At 37.4% G+C, this 22866-nt stretch overlaps 1 long non-coding RNA gene across 1 annotated transcript in view; it reads right to left on the reverse strand.

Moving 5' to 3' along the window:
* Positions 1–16342: 16342 nt before the first annotated feature.
* The window catches only part of LOC105375723 (uncharacterized), a 28587-nt gene continuing 22063 nt past the window's right edge, over positions 16343–22866 (reverse strand). The window contains exons 2-4 of the long non-coding RNA XR_928581.3: positions 19378–19497; positions 17459–17506; positions 16343–16399 (exon numbers count right to left, since the gene is read on the reverse strand). This is a non-coding gene — a long non-coding RNA (uncharacterized LOC105375723). The remainder of the gene's footprint in view (positions 16400–17458; positions 17507–19377; positions 19498–22866) is intronic.

The following is a 22866-nucleotide window of genomic DNA, read 5'->3' on the forward strand; positions in this document are numbered from 1 at the left end:
AATTACTGCTGCCATTGCTTGCCTTGGGATATATATGCCAGCAGGCCAATAGTCAAAGAAAAAAAGTCACATAAAGGCCAGGCTATTGACCCTAATCATTTTGGGGAAATAGGGTTGCTGCTACATAATGAGGGACAGGACAAGAATATGTTTGACAGTCAGGTGAACCACTGGGACATCAACAGGTACTCTCCTAGTTTTAACTATGAGGGAAGGAAATAACTTTGGGACATATAAACTAGGGTGTCAGACTCTTTAGGAATAGGTGAGACAACCAGGTAAGATACCTGCACCATCAGATGCACTGTCAGAGGAAGTGGCAAATCTAATGTGGATGAGGGATGAGGGAGATGATGAGTATCAGTCATGGACTTGAAGTCAACTGTGGCAGTGGGGCATGTAGTTTCCACTAATGTGTTCTTGTGATTAATCAGAATTCCAGAGGAACTATGCTGAATAGATTGAATTTAATGTGAGGAGCAAGTGGTTCTGAATAGTGCAAAGTATAGACTATACAAAATATTGTTGATGTCCAACTCAGATCTCCTTTTCAGGCTGAAACACTTATCCCCCAGCTCTCATGAGTGTTGGGTCCTAAAAGCTTACAGATACTCTCTTCTCCAGAAAAATGCCCTCAGAATATGGGAACCATCCTGATTGGAATATACAGTGTTGATAGTGGCTTACAGCCAAGGACTGACTCTCTGGGTGTGCAAAGGTTGTCCTCTTACATCAAGGTAGGTCTTATTCTGTGTTGCTGTTCATGCTGTAAAGCTCCCCATGGAATGAAATTGAAAGCTAGACATCCTTGCTTGGCTTCTTCCTCTTTCTTATATGGTTCTCTCTTTTTTCCAAGTTATTTGTAAGAGAGAATTTGGAAAAAGTATTTGCAAAAGAGTCCCTGTGTTAGACTCTGCTTCTAGGAAATTGAAAACAAGACACATACTCGCTGCAGGTGGCAGGCGCCTATAGTCCCAGCTACTGGGGAGGCTGAGGCAGGAGAATGGCTGAACTCGGGAAGCAGAGCTTGCAGTGAGCCCAGATCGCGCCACTGCACTCCAGCCTGGGCAAAGAGTGAGACTCTGTCTCAAATAAATAAATAAATAATAATGCATACAAATAGTTTTAAGTCATCCATAGTCCCACCTTATAATGTTTACCATTGTTAGTAGTATATGCGTTTCCAGCTGCTTCTGTATTTATTGAAACATTTATATAAAATGGAATTACATATGTGGTATGTGTTTGTATGCGTGTGTACACATATGTATGTAGTATGTGTTTGTGTGTGCATATATAGACACAGAGAATGTGGTGGTTATCTTTTTAAATTGATAAATATAATAATTTGTAGTTTTATACATATCCTCTGTATAAATCTACAATTAGTTAAACAATTCTCTATAAGTTCTAATAGTTAACTGTGTAAGTGCTGTGATAAACATATCTATACATTTGGCCCTACATATCCATGGATTCTGTACCCATGAATTCAACAAACCATGGATCAAAAATATTTTTTAAAAAGTAACAAAAATATAACAATAAAAATACAAATTTTAAAATACAGTAGAACTATTTCCATAGCAGTTACATTAGAGTAGGCATGAGCAATCTAGAGATGATTTAAAGTATGTGGGATTATGTGTGTAGGCTATAGGCAAATACTATGCTATTTTATACAAGGGATTTCAGCATTTGCTGATTTTGGTATCTATAGGATTCCTGGAACCAATACCCCTTTGAGACCAAGGGATGACTATACATACTTCTTTGCTCATTTATCCAACTATTTTCCTGAGATAAATTTTAAGAAGTGTAACTATGAGGTTAAGTTCACATAATCTAAATATTTTATTTTTTTTCTGGCAAATTGCCTTTAAATGAGATATGTATGAGACTTCCAATTTCCCTACATCTTTGCCAACACTTGGTTTAGTGTTCAATTAACCTAAATACTAGAACTGACAATTTAAAGCAGAAGTTTTAGAATGGCCAATCGAATTGAATGTTAAGATTATTGACTAGTTTGATATTTTGAATTGAATGAATGCTTAAAATGTAAGAAAAAAGCAACCAGACTATTAAGTGCCTTTGTACTCAGTGCTTAAGATAACATCAATGAATGTTATAATTTTAGGAGGTGAGTTTTGTTATTATCCATTGCAACAATGAACAAACTATCAGTGAGACAGACTAATGGCTTATGTTTATACAGCTGGTTTGATATTATATACAATTTGATTTCTCTGACGGTTAAGCCCTGGCTTTTCTTTATGCCCCTCTGTCTCCCACTGGTTGCAGTGCCGATCAATAACTCCCTTTACTGCCCACAGCTATAGGGTCATAGCCAAACCAGATAGATCATACATCTGGATTTGTAAAAGGAACAAGAAAATATATAAAAGTTCTCAGAACAATAAAATGAAAGTTCACTTTAAGTGGCGCCTCTGGGGATTATTCATAAAAAGACCTCAGAAAACCAGAGAATTTTAGACACAAATGGAGATTTAGAGGGCATCTGGACGGTCCTCTTTCCATTTTCTTCATCTGCTGCCTCCATTTATAAATGGAAAATTGTAAAGAGGCAGATGTCAGTGAGATTGTCAGGCAATAACTAGTTTATTCATGATTTTAAGGCTCCAAAGAGAATTGCTAAAGCTTAAGCCATCCTTTCATTCAGGTAGAAAATCTTCAGAATAAAATGGAAAATCAAATCTCTATTTGAAGAAATTAGCTTTGAGGATTGAAAGTAATAGTAGACTAGCTATTTCTTGGGGCTGAAAGAATGGCTTATAGTTAGTAAGCTGTGACTGTGACGAGGGCACCAGGGAGAACTTGATCCGATGTCCACAGCTCCAAGGGCAGGAACGGCCAGATCCCCAACTTCTACTTTTACATGTACTAACTTCATTGGGCTCTAAACTGAGAGAAAACCCCTGGCAGAATGAAGCAAGAAAGTGAACATAGACCTTTAACTGTGTCTAATCTCCCCTGCTTTGGCTGAACGTGGCTCCAACTCTTTGGTCCTAAATCTTGACACATTTAGAATCGCCTGAATGCCTTTGTAAAATTCCTAATGCTGCACTCCAGACTTATTAATCTCTGGCTTTGGAAACAGGCATGAGGCTAGTTGACTCCAATGTGACACCACAATTGTGACCATAGGCTAACTCATCTCTTCTTTCTCCAATGTCATCATCTGACATCCCAGCTGAAAATTACTACTAATTTTAGAAATAAAATTTTTGGCAGGTATCAGTATTGTGGGTTTTTTTTTTTTAATAATAAGGGAAAAAAGACAGGTAAACTAAATCATTGAGAGAGAGTATATGAGAACTCTCTACTTTTTGATCAGTTTTACTGTGAAACTATAATAGGTTTTTTATTTTTAAAGTCTACTAAATACAATTTTTAAATATTAAAAACTGAAAAAAAAAAGAAGAAAGAAAAAATAGAAACAGATGGGTTTACTGATACTAGTTTTTTCCAGAGAGTGTTGGCTGTGCAGCTGAAGGGAAAGCAGGCACGTTTCTGACAACATAGCTCGGTGGCATCTCTCTGTCCTATCACTTTACCTTTAGTTTATTTACCAGCCAGCTCATATTAGTTCTACCTACGGGTGAAACTCAGCTCCCCTAGAACCCAACTGATATTGTTAGAGGAAACAGATCCCGACCCAGACCCCAAGAGAGAGTTCTTGGATCTTGTGCAAGAAGGAATTCAGGGCATGTCTGTAGAGTAAGTGAAAACAAGTTTATTAGGAAAGTGAAGGAATAAAATAATGGTTATCCATAGACAGAGCAGCCCCAGGGCTGCTGGTTGCCCATTTTTATGATTATTTCTTGATTATATGCTAAACAGGGGATGGATGATCCATGCCTCTGCTTTTTAGACCATATAGGGTAACTTCCTGACATAGTCATGGCATTTGTAAACTGTCATGGTGCTGGTGGGAGTGTAGCAGTGAGGACCAGAGGTCCCTCTCGTGGCCATCTTGATTTTGGTGGGTTTTAGCCGACTTCTTTACTGCAAGCTGTTTTATCAGCAAGGTCTTTATGACCTGTACCTTGTGCTGACCTCCTCTCTTATCCTGTGACTTAGAATGCCTTAACCATCTGGGAATGCAGCCCAGTACATCTCAGCCTCATTTTACCCAGCTTCTATTCAAGATGGAGCTGCTCTGTTTCAAATGCCTCTGACAATATGGCCTGTATATGCCTCTTAACACCTAGAAACAAGGCTCTTTTTTTTAACAACGTCTGAAACCCTGCCATGTGCCACCAGTTAAGCCCCTCTTTCTTGTCTGAATCAGCTCCCAGGCCATCAGCTCTTCTGCTGAGCCTGATGACTAACTTACTCTCAGGCCGTTCACCTGGACCAGGTTAATAGCTCTACCCATTGCCAGGTACTTAGATGCTCCAAAAGAGTTTATTTCTGTCACCAGCAATAAGCATGAGATGGGACAACTCTAATGGCCAGTAGGATAAGAAATTCTGCCCATGTTTGGAAATCACTGGTAGCTGTTTATGGTACATATTTTGCATATTGAACTCTGTGGCTACACCTGAACATTAGCATATTTCACTATTTGACTTGAATTTTGTTTCTTCTTTTTTTGATTTTTGTTTTTTTCTTTTGCTACATTAGAAGGATGGAAAAAATATTTCTCTTCACCTTCCGAAAAGTTTAAACTTTAAGCTTTTCCTAGCCTCAAGGAAAAAAGGAACCCTGATAGTTGAGTTGCTAATAATTCTGGCTTTAGGCTTAATGGACCATAAAGGTTTAATGTGGAAACCAATAACGACAACAAGTAGAGGAGAATGCATGGGGCAAGAAGAGTGGAGGAAAGTGGCGCCTGAGAAACTTGAAAAGAGAAAGGACTTTTTTCCAGATTCAAACAGGTTGAGGGACTAGGGGGAAGTAGATAAGGAAATGGAGTCAGGCTATCTGCGGGGCCTTGTTCTGAAGCTTCATGACACCCAGGGGGCCCCTAAAATGAAGAAGGCTCTGTACATTGGGTGGGCGTGATGGTGTTGATGAATACAGTTGTCTCTTGGTATCTGCAAGAAATTGGTTCCAGGACACCTGCAGGTACTAAAATCCAAGGATGCTCAAGTCCCTAATACAAAATGGCATAGTATTTGCACATAACCTGCACATATCCTCCTGTATACTTTAAATCATCTCTTATAATACCTAATGCAATGTACATTTGACCCTTGAACAATGAGGGTGTTAAGGGTACCAACGCTCCCTACCCCAGCTGAAAATTCACATGAAGCTTTTGACTGCCCCAAAATGTAACTACTAATAGCCTACTGTTGACCAGGAGACTTACTTATAACATAAAGTCAATTAACACACATTTTGTGTGTTATATTTATAATATACTCTCTTCTTACAGTAAGGTAAGCTAGATAAAAGAAAATGTTATTTTAAAAAATCATGAGGAAGAGAAAATATATTTACTATTTATTAAGTGGAAGTGAATCATCATAAAGGTCTTCATCTTTGTCATGGTCATGTTGCGTAGGCTGAAGGGGAGGGGAAGGCAGGGTTGGTTTTGCTATCTTTGGGGTGGCAGAGGTGGAAGAAAATCCACATGTAAGTGGACTCCTGCAGTTTAAACCTATGTTGTTCAAGTGCCAACTGCGAATGCTATGTAAATAGTTGCTATGCTGTATTTTTAAATTTTGTATTATCTTCTATTGCTTTAAGAAAAATATTTGCAATCTGTGATTGGCTGATTCCATGGATGTGGAAGCTGCAGATACTGAGGGCTGACTGTAAATCCCTGCGTCTATACTTCGTCACATGGCAACTGAGCTGAACTCACCCCTGAGCTGCGCTAGTGATTTACGACACACAATTTAGCAGTTCACATTTGTCAGGCCTTTTGGTACACAGTAGCCTTTGGTGACTGGAAGTAGATGGAGGCCCAAATCTTCTCTCCATTTCTTTGGCACTAAGAGCTATGTTACAATGAAAACAAGACCTAGGAACAAGGCACACAAATGATCACCTTGCTTGAGAGACTTAATCCAAGATGGACACATACGATCCTGGTGGCCCACCTTCCTGTCAGTTCTGGTGACAGAGTCCTTTGTGAAGTGGGAGGGCAAAGCACCAAATGGAGCCCCACGTCTTGTTTATTACAGGGAAGAAGGATTCCCTATGGGTAACTTAATACTGTTTTAAAATTGTTGTTACACATACACATAAGATACTTATAAGCAGGTACATCACTTTGTATAATGCAGTGTTTGTAAGTAACTTCTTAGGCAACATAATATCACATGCTGTTAATTCTCATGTAATCCCATTGTGTCACACTAACAATCCCGGTAATAGGGTCACATCAATACTAACACAAGAATGCTAATAACTCCAAACCACTACCTCCTAAATAAAGACACATGCCATTATCAATTGTCATCTCACCATCTCCCCTTCTGCATGACTAGCCTATTCTAGCATCATCTCTTCCCTGGGCCACTGCAAGTTTCCTCAACTGAATTTATTTATTTATTTTTGTTGTTCATAGTCACATTGAGATGTTAATAAATCTGATCATTTCATTTCCATTTTTGAAAACCTCTAATGGCTTCTAATATTTATTGAAACAATATAAAATCTCATAACTGAGATTGAGTCATTTTCATGAAGACAATAGCAAAAGTATCCTTCATCCTATGCCCGTTTCTCTGTTATTTTCTTTGTAGTACACAGCTCTGAAATTATTTTTTCAGCATATCTGATTTTCTGTCTGCCTCAAATAGAATGTCAACTTCTCAATTCATTCACTCTTAGGTCCCCAGTACCTACAACAGAGCTTGGCACACGGTAAATGTTCAGTTAACATCCATGGAATTTCACAAATGAAAGATGTGCATTGGTACTAATGCCTGTGATTTCTTCTCAGCCAATTATATTCTTGCAAAGTAAGAAGGACAATTATTTTTCTCCCTTTGTGGTGGACTCAACTGTTGGAGGGATCTCAGAAGCATATTTGCCTGGACCCCAGCCTGATCATTCAGTATAATCATTACTTTGCTTTCTCTTGAGCTGCTACGATCCTGTTGCAGCATTCTCTGTTGGTTGCCAAATTACCTAAAATAGTTCAATGACTGCAGGAGATCTGTTCCATATTGTACTAATTGTCATCCACAGAATACTTTGAAAGCATGATTGTCTTACTAGAATAAAAAGGAAGACCTTTATTTGTCTTAAACTCACTTGGAACAGATCTCACATGACTAAACTGTTTAAGTTATTGTTATGGGTTGAATTGTGTACCTCTGAAATTCACATATTGAAGAAAACACCCTAGTACTTCAGAATGTTATTGTTTTTGGAAGAGATGATCTTTAAACAGATAATTAAGGTTAGATGAGGTCGCTGGGGTCAGGTCTTAATTGAATATGTCTGGTATCCTTATAAGAAGAGACTAGGACACACACACACACACACACACACACACACACACAGTGGAAAAACCATGTGAACACAGAGAAAAGATGGCTCTTAGAGATTGAACTGTGCTTTCCCAAAACTCATAATGTTGAAGTCCTGCTCCCAGCACTCATAAAGTGACTGTATCAGGGTGGCCCTAATCCAATCTGGCTGGTATCCTTGTAAGAAGAAGAGATGAGGGCATATAGAAAAACACCAGGGCCATGCACACACAGGGAAAGACCATGTGAGGACACAGCAAGAAGGCTGCCATCTGCAAGCTGAAAAGAGAGGCTGCAAGAGAAACCAAACCTGCCTTGATCTTGGACTTACAGTCTCCAGCACTGTGAGAAAATACATCCCTGTTATTTAAGCCTGTGTTATTTTGTAATGGCAGCCCTCACAAAGTAAATCAATTATGAAATTCTACAGGCGCTTTTTCAACTTACATGAAGTTCCTTTTCTTAAAATGCATGCATACAAGAATGGGTCTTATGGCAAGTACAGTGTTACTTAGAATTACCACTCCTCCTAAAATTTGCTAGATACAGCTTTCTGGGCCAGAATCATTTCCCTTTTTGCAATCAGGAATCCTTGAAGTGGGGGATATTTCTTCTCTACCCATTCCTTTCCATGTAAAAAAATATTCCCCTAAAAATTCCTGGCTTCTTTAAGGTCCCTACCTCCTTTGTTTCTGACCAAGAACTAGAGTGAGTTATCTGGTTGCTGAGTTTGGGAGGGGAGCTGAGTATCAGTGTCTCAGCTCCTTCCTTTCCTCATTCTCATGAATGGTAGTCTGCCTTCAGAATGCATTTGCTCTGGTGTCCACCTTTATGGCTTTCATTGTATTTGTGCACCCCCAGTTAGACAGGTTGAGATTACCCTGTGCTGTCTGTGGCAGTGGGTAACAGGAAACCCATTGTTGCTGCACACCTTTCCTGGTTACCTCTTGCTGGGTGACAAACAATTACAAAATTTAGTGGTGTAAAACAATCATTTTATTAATTTCAAAATTTTGTGGGGCAGAAATTTGGGCAGAGCACAGCAAAGATTGCTTATATCTGCTCGATGATGACTAAGACCTTTAATTAGATTGGCTCAAACAGCTGGATTTAGCTGGGCTGACTTCATGAGAGCTACATGTCTTGGGCCTTGATTCTGGCTGTCAGCTGGTTTCCTCAGTGATATGGTTTGGCTATGCCCCCACCCAAAATCTCATCTCGAATTGTAATCTGAATTATAATCCTCATGTGTTATGGGAGGGACTCGTGGGAGGTGACTGGATCATGGGGGCAGTTCCCCCATGCTGTTCTCTTGATAGTGAGTGAGTTCTCATGAGATCTGATGGTTTTATAAGGGGCTCTTCACCCCTTCACTGTGCACTTCTCTCTCCTGCCACCATGTGAAGAAGGGAGTGTTTGCTTCCCCTTCCACCATAATTGTAAGTTTCCTGAGGGTTCCCTAGCCACACAGAGCTGTGAGTCAATTCAGCCTCTTTTTGTTATAAATTGCCCAGCCTCAGGTATTTCTTCATAGCAGTGTGAGAATGGACTAAGACACTCAGTTTTTCTCCACATCATATCTACCAGTGCCAGAATGTCTAAAATGCTTTTTCACTAGCATATCTTTCCTGCACTGGGAGAGCTGAAACAACTAGGGCTGCCTGGACATCACTAGTTTTTCATAAGCTTATCTTGGGCTTCCTCACATTATGGTGATATCAGAGTAGTTGGACTTCTTACATGGTGGCTAGTTCCCCACAGAATGAGCATTCTAAGACACCAACATGAAAACTGCAAGGTTTATTCTGAACTAATCTTGAAAGGGACACAGTGTCATTTCTGATGTATTCTGCAGGGTATAAGTGAGTAACAGGGCCAGCCAAGATTCAGTAGGTGAGGGCTGACTACACAAAGATGTTAACACATGAGGTGGTTAAAAGAGGGGTCTTTTTAAGAGACTATCACAACATTTCAGCCATGTTCTTAAATAGATAATAAAGGTGCTATTGTCATCTCATCTACTTTTTCTTCTATGGTACTTCCCAGTTAATTCAAAACTGAGGCCAGAAAAAGTAAAATTTTTAAAGTTGATATTCTCATACATCAGCAACAGCTATTATTTGTTCTTGATATATGACTTGTACCAGAAATATCTTAGTTATAGGCAACATCTTAACATGCCTTCTTGCATGCAAATAAGAGGATGTAAATGGATGATTGAGGGTTGGGATGTTGCTTAACATCATGTGCCAGACATGAATAAGCATCACACCTTAGTTAAGAAATAAATTCTAAAGACAGAAAGGAATTCTGAAAATATGGTAACTAAAACATCCTGCTGCCTTGTCATTCCCAAACTCAACTTTAATCCTTCCTCCACATGAGCCAAATGGATGATGGGACTGGAAGACAGCCATAGCCTGGAGGATGGAAATGACTGGGCTCTTGCAAATAAATTGAAAGAGAAAATGGTCCTTACTGACATTCAAATTAGAGGCCAGGAAGATTAAGTGAAGGAAATTTTCAGAGACTACCTAGTCAAACTGCAAAGGGATAGAAATCAAGAGGGAAAGATGAGGCTTACAGCCACAGGAGACTTAACACACAAATAATGAGAAGGGAAAACAAGAAGATCTCATGGAAATGCAATTGTTAAACAAATGATAGCAGAAAAATTTCCTAACCTGAAGGAAGACCTAAGCAGGCAGAGGTACATTGAGGCAAGTCTTAATAGGATTTCTAAACTCCAAGAATAAAGAAAACATTTTATAGGTTTCAAAGTAGAAAAGACAAGTTATTTCAAAGGTTAATTCACAGATGCAGGTTGACATTGGACAGCTCATCTGCAGAAAGAGGAGCTAGCCAATCATAGAATGACATCTATAGACTACTTAGAGAAAAGAAATACAACCATGGATCCTGACAGCAGCCCAAATGCCATTCCAGTAGCACGAATGAAAGAAAAATACTGTAGATGTACAAGAATTGAAAGTACACATCACTCAAACACTCTACAGCAGGAAAATTCTGGAGAATGAACTACAACTAGCAAACAAGCCAGAACAGAGATGAAAATGGGGTGTTTGAGAGGTGGCTGGGAAGAGGTTAAATCTGTGAGTGAGGATAGGAAAAATAGAAAATGCAAGCAAACTAAAAACCTCATCCTAAGAAGTACATGAGATATAGAGAAAAGTAATAGGGGAATAAAGCCCTTAGTAAGAATTTTTTAAGTAAAATTAATATTAATAAATAATAGGCTTTATTATAATTGCCAGGAATGGGAAGGGAACCCAAAGTACACTACCAACATACAGTAAGAACCCAAATTAATGAGCACTTCTACTTGTAAATTAGCTGCAAATATACAAAGGAGGGAAAGAAAAATATCAAATGGAAATACTAAACATAGAGTAAGATGGAATAAATGAAAATAAGTATATCATCATATATATTGTGTTAGTTATCTATAGCTGCATAACAAATCAAATTAAAAATGGATTTGACTGAATGATTACCAGATCTTACCATTAGAATATTTGTTTTATTTGTGCAAGAGTGAGCCTTTCAGGCAAGGTATTCCTTGGACTTCTTAAAAGTTTTCATCCCTGGGATGCAAGTCTGGTTCAACATACACAAATCAATAAATGTAATCCATCACATAAACAAAACCAATGACAAAACCACGTGATTATCTCAATAGATGCAGAAAAGGCCTTCAATAAAATTCAACACCCCTTCATGCTAAAAACTCTCAATAAATTAGGTATTGATGGAACGCATCTCAAAATAACAAGAGCTATTTATGACAAACCCACAGCCAATATCATACTGAATGGGCAAAAGCTGGAAGCATTTCCTTTGAAAACTCGCACAAGACAAGGATGCCCTTTCTCACCCCTCCTATTCAACACAGTATTGGAAGTTCTGGCCAGAGCAATTAGGCAAGATAAAGAAATAAAGGGTATTCAAATGGGAAGAGAGGAAGCCAAATTGTCTCTGTTTGCAGATGACATGATTGTATATTTAGAAAACCTCATGGTCTCAGCCCACAATCTCCTTAAGCTGATAAGCAACTTCAGCAGTCTCAGGATACAAAATCAATGTGCAAAAACCACAAGCATTCCTATACACCAATAACAGAGAAACAGAGAGCCAAATCATAAGTGAACTCCCATTCACAATTGCTACAAAGAGAATAAAATACCTAGGAATACAACTTACAAGAGATGTGAAGGACCTCTTCAAGGAGAACTACAAACCACTGCTCAAGGAAATAAAAGAGGACACAAACAAATGGGAAAACATTCCATGCTCATGGATACGAAGACTCAATATCGTGAAAATGGCTGTACTTACTGCGCAAAGAAATTTTTAGATTCAATGCTATCCCCATGAAGCTACCATTGACTTTCCTCACAGAATTACAAATCAGTATATTAAATTTCATATGGAACCAAAAAAGGGCCCGCATAGCCAAGACAATCCTAAGCAAAAAGAACAAAGCTGGAGGCATCACACTACCTGACTTCAAACTATACTACAAGGCCATAGTAACCAAAACAGCATGTTACTGGTACCAAAACAGATATATACACAAATGGAATAGAACAGAGGCCTCGGAAATAATGCCACACATCTACAACCATCTGATCTTTAACAAACCTGACAAAAACAAGCAATGGGGAAAGGATTCCCTATTTAATAAATGGTATTGGGAAAACTGGCTAGCCATATGCAGAAAACTGAAACTGGATCCCTTCCTTACAGCTTATACAAAAATTAACTCAAGATGGATTAAAGACTTAAACCTGGAACCTACCACCATAAAAACCCTAGAAGAAAACCTAGGCAATACCATTTAGGCATGGGCAAAGACTTCATGACTAAAACACCAAAGGCAATGGCAACAAAAGCCAGAATTAACAAATGAGATCTAATTAAACTAAAGAGCTTCCGCACAGCAAAAGAAACTATCATCAGAGTGAACAGGCAACCTATAGAATGGGAGAAAATTTTTGCAATCTATCCATCTGACAAAGGGCTAATATCCAGAATCTACAAAGAACTTATACAAATTTACAAGAAACAAACAAACAAACAACTCCTCAAAAAGTGGGTGAAGGATGTGAACAGACACTTCTCAAAAGAAGACATTTATGGGGCCAACAAACATATGAAAAAAAGCTCATCATCACTGGTCATTAGATAAATGCAAATCAAAACCACAATGAGATACCATCTCATTCCAGTTAGAATGGCAATCATTAAAAAGTCAGGAAACAACAGATGCTGGAGAGGTTTTGGAGAAATAGAAATGCTTTTACACTGTTGGTGGGAGTGTAAATTAGTTCAACCATTGTGGAAAACAGTGTGGCATTTCCTCAAGGATCTAGAACCAAAAATACCATTTGACCCAGCAATCCCATTACTGGGTATATACCCAAAGGATTATAAATCATTCTACTATAAAGACAAATGCACACCTATGTTTATTGCAGCACTGTTCACAATAGCAAAGACTTGGAACCAACCCAAATGCCCATCAATAATAGACTGGATAAAGAAAATGTGGCACATATATACCATGGAAATACTATACAGCCATAAAAAGGATGAGTTCATGTCCTTTGCAGGGACATGGATGAAGCTGAAAACCATCATTGCTAGCAAACTAACACCACATGGAACAGAAAACCAAACACTGCATGTTTTCACTCATAAGTGGGAGTTGAACAAGGAGAACACATGGACACAGGGAGTGAAACATCACCCACCAGGGCCTGTTAGAGGTTGGAGGGCTAGGAGAGGGATAGCATGAGGAGAAATACCTAATGTAGATGACGAGTTGATGGGTTCAGCAAACCACCATGGCAGGTGTATACCTATGAAACAAACCTGCACGTCCTGCACATGTATCCCAGAACTTAAAGTATAATAAAAAGAAAAGAAAAAAAGAGCAAGTTTTCGAGGAACTTTAGCCAAGATGGCTGAATAGACACAGACAGAAAAAACTTCTCCCACGGAGAGACCAGACCATCAAGAAGACTGGCACACTCTGAATTGATCTTCAGAAAGAAGACATTGAGAGTCAACCGAGGGAGGACACAGACCCTAGGCTGAATGGGGAGGAAGCTAAGAACACTGCCTGGGGTTGCCACGCAGCAGGACTCCTCCCTGACCCTGAGTGGCTCCTGGGGAAATGGTGAGTTAAATAGGCATGGAGTGGCTCTTAAGGACCTCTTGTAAGGTGGGTCTGGTGGTAGCAAATGTACTTAGCTTTTGCTTGTTTGAAAGGATTACATTTCTCCATTTCCCAGGCTGTTCTCAAACTCCTGAGCTCAAGTGATCTGCCCACCTCAGCCTTCTAAAGTGTTGGGACTGCAGGCATGAGCCACTGTGCCTGGCCAAAAATCAATAGCATTTCCCTACACCAACAACGTCTAAGCTGAATGCAATCCTATTCACAATAGCCACAAAAAGAATAAAATACCTAGGAATACAGCCTACCTGGGAGGTGAAAAATCTCTACAACCAAAATGACAAAACACTCCTCAAAGAAATCAGATGACACAAACAATTGGAAATACATTTCATGCTCATGGATAGGAAGAATCAATATTGTTAAAATGAACATACTGCCCAACGCAATTTGTAGATTCAGTGGTATTCCTGTCAAATAACCACTATCATTTTTCACAGAATTAGAAAAGCTATTTTAAAATCCACATGGATATAATAAAGAGTGTGAATAGCCAAAGCAATCCTAAGCAGAAAGAATGAAGCTGGAGGTATCACACTACCCAACTTCAAACTATACTACAAGGCTACAGTAAATAAAACAGCATGATACTGGCGTTAAAAAAGACCATAGGCCAGCGAAATGAGTTAGAGAACCCAGAAATAAAGTGGCACACCTACAACCATCAGTTCTTTGACAAAGTCAACAATAACATGCAATGGAGAAAGGACCTCCTATTCAATAAATGGCTCTGGGATAACTGGCTAGCTATATGCAGAACATTGAAACTGGACTTCTACATTTCACCACATAAAAAATTAAAGTCAGGATAGATTAAAGACTTAAATGTAAAACCTAAAACTACAAAAACTCTAGAAGAAAATCTATTAAATACCTTTCTGGACATAGGCCTTGGCAAAGATTTCAAAATGTGGACTCCAAAAGCAATTGAAACAAAACGAAAAATTGACAAGTAGGACTTAATTAAACTAAAAAGCTTCTACACAGCAAAAGAAACTGTCAACGGGATAAACCCACAACCTATAGAATGGGAGAAAATAATTGCAAACTATGCATCCAACAAAGGTCTAATATTCAGAATCTATTAGAAACTTAAACAATTGAACAAGCAGAAAACAACCTGATTGAAAAATGGGCAAAATAAATGAACAGACACTTCTCAAAAGAGAACACAAACAATTAGGCAACAAATGTATGAAAAAAACGCTCCACATCACTAATCATCAGAGAAATACAAATCAAACTGCAATGCGATACCAACTCACACCAAGCAGAATGGCTATTACTAAAACAGCAAAAAATTAGAGATGCTGGTGAGGCTTCAGAGAAAAGGAAATGTTTATATATTGCTGGTGGGAACGTAAATTAGTTCTGGAAATTTCTGAAAGAACTTAAAACAGAACTACCATTGAATCCAGCAATGCCATTACTGGGCATTTATCCAAAAGAAAATAAATTTTTCCACCAAAAAGACATAGGCATTTACATTTTCATCGCATCACTGTTCATGATAGCAGAGACACTGAATCAACCCCGATGCCCATCAATGGTGGATTGGATAAAGAAAATGTACATATACACCATGGGATACTACACAGCCATAAAAAAGAGTGAGGTCATGTCCTTTGCAGCAACCATGGATGTAGCTGGAGGCCATTATCCTAAGTGAATTAACACAGGAACAGAAAGCCAAATACCTCATGTTCTCATTTATAAGTGGAAACTAAACATTAGGTACACATGGACACAAAGATGGGAACAATAGACACTAGAGCTTACTTGAGATTGGAGGGTGGGAAGAGTGTTAGGATAGAAAAACTACCTATCGGATACTATGCTCACTACCTGTGTGACAAAATCAATTGTACATGAAACCCCAGCAACATGCAATTAACTCATGTAACAAACTTGCACGTGTACCCCCTAAACCTAAAAAAAGAAGTTGGAAGAAAAAAAGAAGTTGAAGTGATGCCAGGGCTTCACTGAGTTGTTAAAGACTGGAGGTCTGACTATTTTTGTTGCTGGATTGCTAATAAATGCTTGAATGATTATTATCATTTAAATATAGTATCTGGTAAATATTATGGGGAAGTTGACATTTAGTTCTTATCCACTTCTAATTTTTGGAGATTATTAATATTAATTTTAAAAAGAGATATTTGTAGATAGTAAAAATGGTTTAGTGAATATAAAATTACACTCAAATATCCAACATAATTACAAATATCATTCTGAATCATCAAATATTCCAATAATTTCACTTAAGTTGGTAAAACTTTTAAAAAGAAGTTGTAAAAATATTTGTTGATACTGTGAAAATTATACAGTTGGGAAATGAACAAGATTATACTACATTAAGTATAATTATAATTGGCCCTTGAATAACACATGTGTTAGGGGCACTGACTCCCCTGTGCAATAGAAAATTCAACTGTAACTTTTGAATTCCCCAAACTTAACTACTAATAACTTACTGTTGACCAGAGGCCTTACTGATAACAGCCAATTGACAGGTATTTTGTATGTTATATGTATTATATACTGTATTCTTACAATAAAATAAGCTAGAGAAATGAAAAATGCTATTAAGAAAATCATAAGAGAGAGAAAATGTATTTAATATTCATGGGGTGGAGGTAGATCAGCAAAAGCCTTCATTCTTGCCATCTTCATGTTAAGTAGGCTGAGGAGAAGAAGGAAGAGGAGGGGTTGATTTTGCTTGTTAGGGATGGTAGAGACAAAAGAAAATTCACACGTAAGTGGACCTGTGTGGTTGAAACTTATGATGTTCAAGGTTCAACTATAATATGAAAATTATCATAGTACTGGATATATTTATATATATATATATATATAACATAATATAGATGTATATATATAACATAATATATATGTTATATATATATTATAGTAGGGTACTGGATATATTTTTATATATATAACATAATATATAATATATTTATATGTATTTATATATTATATATAAGTATATATATATAATCTCAGTATATTTTTCCTTATAATAATAATTTTTCCTTATAATAATTTTCCTTATAATAATGACAACCAAAAATAAAAGTAGTAAAATATTTCACTTATAATGGTGACAAAAATGATAAATACTTAGGAATTAATTTAAGAAAAAAGCATCTGAACTTAATAAAAAAAATTAATAGGAAACATGTAGAGAAAATTGTTATTGAAAGACACATGGATATTTAAATAATTAGAAAGACATATCATATTCTTAGATGGTGATATTTAATAAATAAAAATATCAGTTCTGAAATAATAGAAATTCAAATTGTAATTGTAAGAAGACTTTGATAATTTCATCAAGGATCTTCTTATAGAAGAATAAATAACAAAAATAGCCAAAAAATTCTTTAAAAATAACTATCATGATAAAGACATTCCCTTGTTAGACATTAGAAGGTGCTATGAAGCTTTGAAGTTTAAACAGATAAATAAATCATAGAAATAAAATAGCGAAGCAAAAAACAAATTCTATTATTTATGGATTTTGATTATATCACAAAGTTGGCATTTTGTTTCATTGAGGAAAGGTTATTTCAGTTATTTCATAAATGGTTACAGCATAGCTAATATTTAATTCATCTAGAATAAAATGAAGTGGAAGTCACACCTTTTACCACATATGAAAATAAATCCTAGCTGAATTTAAAACTTAAATATTAAAAATAAAAAAGTATGTAGAAAAAAATTAAGTATTTATACTTACTACCTAAATGTGGGACAAACATTTTTATGGGTCCAGGAAATTCAGGAACTGTAAAAGATAGACGTACATAAATAAATATAAATTTATGTCTTTGTATAGCAAAAGATAGCAAAGTCATTAGATAGGTCATAGATCTGTAAAATGAAGTTGCAACACAGATACAGATACACTTTAAAGTCTACATAATATAAAGAATATTTAGGATTCATTCTGGCAAGAAACATAATTCAATAGTATAATGAACAAAGAATGTAAATTGGCAATTCTTAGAAACAAAACCATATGTTAGAATCCTTAAATTCACAATTACTAGAATACATCCAAATATAGGAAAGGAGAGGAAAGTGTAGATGAATAAAAATAAAATAAGGAGACAAAAAAATACAGAACAAAAATCCTCTCAGAACATTTGATATGAATTTGAGTACATAAAATTTCCAATGCATGTACGTATACACATAAAGTCTTGAAAAAATAGATAAACTTAGGTATATATTTATGATTACTGGCCATATTGAGTATATATGGCGAGTGAAAAAATGTCCACATTGCATGGTAATGTATATGCTATGATTCTATTTTCTTATCAACAGTAGCAACAATAAAAGTACTATAGATGTGTGTGCACGTGTGTGTATGCAAGAATATATTTGTTGAGAATGTTGATTTGAAAGGACACCAGGCTGGCTACTTGTGCGTGTGTGCGTGCGTGTGTGTGTGTGTGTGTGTGTGTGTGTGTGTGTGTTGGGAGGGAGGGGTGTTGTATAAGATGGCAGCAGCCGGCAAAAACTATACTTCTTTTGTTATTTTAGAATATAGTCCTCCTACTTATTTTAAAATAAAAAAAAGAGTTAACTGTAAAACAGCTTCATGCAAGTCCTTCAGGAGATATTCTAGAAGAAGGCATTGTTATCCTAGGAAATGACAGCTCCATGAGTGTTATTGCCCTGAAGACTTTCCAGTGGGACAAGATATGGAGATGGAAGACAGTGATACTGATGATCCTAATCCTGTGTAGGTCTAGGCTAATGTGTGTGTTTGTGTCTTAACTTTTAACAAAATGGTTTAAAAATTAAAAATAGGAAGTAGAAAAAGCTTATAGAATAAGGATATAAAGAAAAAATAGTTTTATACAGCTGTGAAAATCAGTTTGTGGTTTCAGCTAAGTGTATTTACAAAAGACTTATAAAGTTAAAAAATACAAGTTCTTAAAGTAAAAAAGTCATGATAAGCAAAGGTTAATTTATTATTAAAGAAAAAATATTGCTTATAAATTTAGTGTACTAAGTGTAGAGCTTTATAAAGTTTACAGTAGTGGACAGTAATGCTCCAGGCTTTCGCATTTACTCGTCACTCACTCATTGATTCACTCAGAGCAACTTCCAGTCCCGCAAACTCCATTCTAGGTGAGTGCCCTATACAGGTAAGGCACGTTATCATTTACATTATCTTAAATACATTATCTTTTATAATGTATTTATACTTCATCTTTTCTGTTTAGATCATATAAGTACTGACCATTGTGTTGCAATTGCCTATAGCAGTCAGTACAGTAACATGCTGGTCAGGTTTGTAGCCTAGGAGCAATAGTCTATACCATGTAGCCTAGGTGTGTATCATTAGGCAATACCATCTAGAACTGTGTAGTACACTCTGTGATATTGGTAGAATGATGAGATCACTGAATGAAACATTTCTCAGAACCAATCTGCATTGTTAAAGATGTATAACTATACTGAAAATGTATACATATTTACACTCCAGTTTCATGTGGTCTCTTAAAATAAAGAATAAACATTTACCAAGAAAATGCAATTCTTCATCAGTGTGTAATGTAAAATTGGGTATTGTCAGAATTATGCTAAAGATTTCTTATATGATTCACGAGGAGTATAAGATGTGATTTTCATCATACAAACCTGTAGAGGATTTTGCACTTTAAAGTTTACAAACAGCATCTCCTAATGAGGAATAAAGGAAAGTTTCTCTGCAGGTGTCTGATCATGTTTTCACTCTGCTCTAACATGACCATCAAAACCCTAGGGGAGAAGAGGGATGAATATCAAATTCTAAAGTGTTTCTTCTTACCTGCAGAGTTTACTCCATTTAGGTTTACTATTAGGTTTCTAAGCCATAATACATTAATTCACTGTGAGAATAAAAAATAGTCAAATTGCCCTTTTAGAAGTTTAGGCTCTAAGGTTACCCCCCAAATTATATGATTTGGTGATTTTATTTAATTATATTAACCGATAGCTCCAACCTATCTGACAAATTAAACGTGTCTGGATATCAGGTTGTTGAAATAAAATCTCAATTTTATTGAAATGTTAATGAAAACCAGTTCTGAGGCTTTAAGTGACTTATCCAAGGACACATAGGTAGTAAGTAGCATGGAGGAATTTGAACCCATACCTGCCCAAAACCTAAGTTCAGGCTGTACAGCTCTCCACCTGCATCAACCTGCGGTAGAAAGTCCAGAGAAGCCTGGCAAAACAACTAAAAAATGCACCTATCGAGCATTTCAAAGAGCAGAAGATAAGAGAGGCAGAGAAGGTGGGAGGGCTTACGTTCATGTTTTTGGGGGTGAGTGAATTGGGGGTGGGCATTCATGTAGGATAAGTATATGGTGGAGGTGAAAGGAAATTGACTTGGCTCAGGGAAATCTAATTGGCTTGGAGGTGAGAATTGTGGGTGACTTAAAAACTGCAGTGGCCTACAACTAGTAATTTCTATTTCATCCTGACTTTATTTCTTGTCCAAAGGGAGGAAAAATGCCTTGAAGAATAGGAGTAGGAGAGAGAAGAAAGGAAAGCTAGTGGGAGTTTAAGTCAAGGTTGGTTTCCTTCCTGACCTCACCCACATTCTCCCACTCTTCCTGTTTGCACTCAGCTGCTGCCCAGGCGGAGGCTACTAAGGAGAGTTGGGTTTCAAGCAGGCTTTGTAGGAAAATGGGGGCTTAAGTGAAGCAAAAGCTCCAGGGTGACTCTGAGGGACCTTGCAGCTAGGATTTCCTGGGAAGTTTCTCCTCCTCACCATTCTATTAAGCTATAGGGGCAGAAATAAGAGCCTCCTATGTAGCAGGTGACCCTTAAAGTCAATGAATGAGTAACAAGAGGAATATAATCTTTTTATTTGTGTTACAGAATAAGGATATTTGTGACTGCAATTCTCATATTCTCCAAACACCAACTGGGTGTCCAACAATTCAGTTCTATTGTAACACTAACTCCTCAGAGTTAGCATCAGACTCCACAGGTTTAAGGGCTCAGTCCCACAAGACTGCCCTCCCATCAGATGCTGTCTCAAGATCTCAAGGACTGGGTCCCCAGGTTAGCTGCACTTCTGTCTGACTTGGCTACAAATTCAGAGGCTCCCACAACCTCCTTGCCAGGTTTGGTGATTCACTAGAATGTCTCACAAAACTCAGGAAAGTGCTTTTCTTATTGTTATCCATCTATTACAAAGGCTACAACTCAGAACAGTCAAGTAGAAGAGATGCACAGAGCAAGGTATGGGGCGAGGCAAGGAGCTTCCCTGCCTTTTCTGGGTGTGCCACCCTCCAGCACCTCATTGTGGTCACTGACCAGGAAGCTCTCTGAACCCTGTTGTTTAGTGGTTTTTATGGAGGTTTTATTGCGTAGGCATGATTGATTAAATCATTGGCCACAGGTGATTCAACACAGTCTCCAGCCCCTTTCCCCTTGCCTGCAAAGTCAGGGGGTGGAGCTGAATGTTTCAACTCACTAATCATTCTGTTGTCTTTCTGGAGACCACCTTCCATCATGAAGTTATCCAGGGACCCTCAAGAAGACAAGAAGATGAGGGAAAGTTTGGAACTTACTAGAGACTTGTTGAATGGTTTATATATTAACATAAACTTAGTCATTGTTGAAAGGGGCTTGTTATGAAAGACAAAAGATACTCCCATCACTCAGGAAATTCCAAAAGTTTTAAGAGCTCTGTGCCAGCAATTGGGTACAAAAACTAAATATTTCTTATTTTACCTCAGTGACATATTTTCATAATAAAATGGAACTTTTTGGGGAGGTTAACATTTCTTTGTTATATTAGGATAAATCATTTAGCTTATTCTGGGGTAATCTGATATTCCCCTGTTTGAAAAACCCAGGAATTGCTATTCCAAATAAAAGTCTTCTCACTCTAAAGAAAAGGACAAAGCCCTCTGTATAAATTAACTAGAGCTGCTGTAAGAAAATATCACAAACTGGATAATTAAACAACAAAGATTTACTGTCTCACAGCTGTGTAGGCTAGAAGTCCAAAATCAAGGTGTCAGTAGGGCTGGCTTCTTTTGAGGGGCTGTGAGACAGAGGATCTATCCCAGATCCTCTCTCCATGGCTTGTACATGGCCCTCATTTACATCTCTTGACATCATCTTTGCCTTCCCTCTGTTTATCTCTATGTCCAAATTCTCCCTTTTCATAAGGACAACAGTCATGTTGGATTAGGACACACCTTAATGGTCCTCGCTTTAACTTGGTTACTTCTGTAAAGATCCTATCTCCAAATACAGTTACATTGTAGGCATTCAGGTTATTTCGGGGAGACACAATTTAACCAATAATATCCTCCCTTTGCTAATGAGCATCCTTTCTGAATCAGTTACTAAGGCTTATGTGGTGATTGTGTGTGGAGGCGGAAGTGGGAGTATAAAGAAAGAGCTGGAGAGACTAGAGATGAAGGGAGGAGAGGAGAAATGACTGCTGGCATCCGAAGAGTGGAGTGGGACTTGAGAGTGGGGCTCTCTCCAAGGTTCATTTCATGCATGAACTGAAAGAAGGGCCACTGCAAGGCATATTTCTAATAATTTTTGTACTCTGAGTCAGCTCCAGTGAATTGTCCAGTCTTAGGGTGGCTGGAACTTTTCTAGGAGTGAATAGGCACTGTCACCCCTCAGCCTCTGTGAAGTGGAAAAGATGCCCAGCCCAAGAGGTGAGCTCCTGACTTGCTAGTGTTGGGCTCATCCAGATGTGCATGCTCTGCATGTAATTATTCTGTAATAAATGGCTTCCAACTCTATGACCTAAAGTACTTGGAGGAAGAAATTTAATATGTAACATTGTGATTAAAAACATGATTCAGAGAGAGACTGATACCCTTTCTTTCAGGTACTTTTCAACATTAAATTTAATATGAGGTAAACTTGTAAAAGAGGTTCATTTCTACAATCTTATTCAAAAACAATATTGCTATATGTGTTGGAAAAATGTAAGAAATAATGATTCTAAATATGTGTCTCTTCTTCTCTTAAATTATTTAAATATGCCATTTAACATGAGGAAATAAATGAACTACACCCAGAGAATTGGCATGGTATTGCTTATGATAGAAAAAAGAGAAAATGCAGGGAAGATTTAAGTTAGAACTACAGCTGCTGATACAG

This window comes from Homo sapiens, chromosome 8 (assembly GCF_000001405.40).
Source record: "Homo sapiens chromosome 8, GRCh38.p14 Primary Assembly".
NCBI lineage: Eukaryota > Metazoa > Chordata > Mammalia > Primates > Hominidae > Homo > Homo sapiens.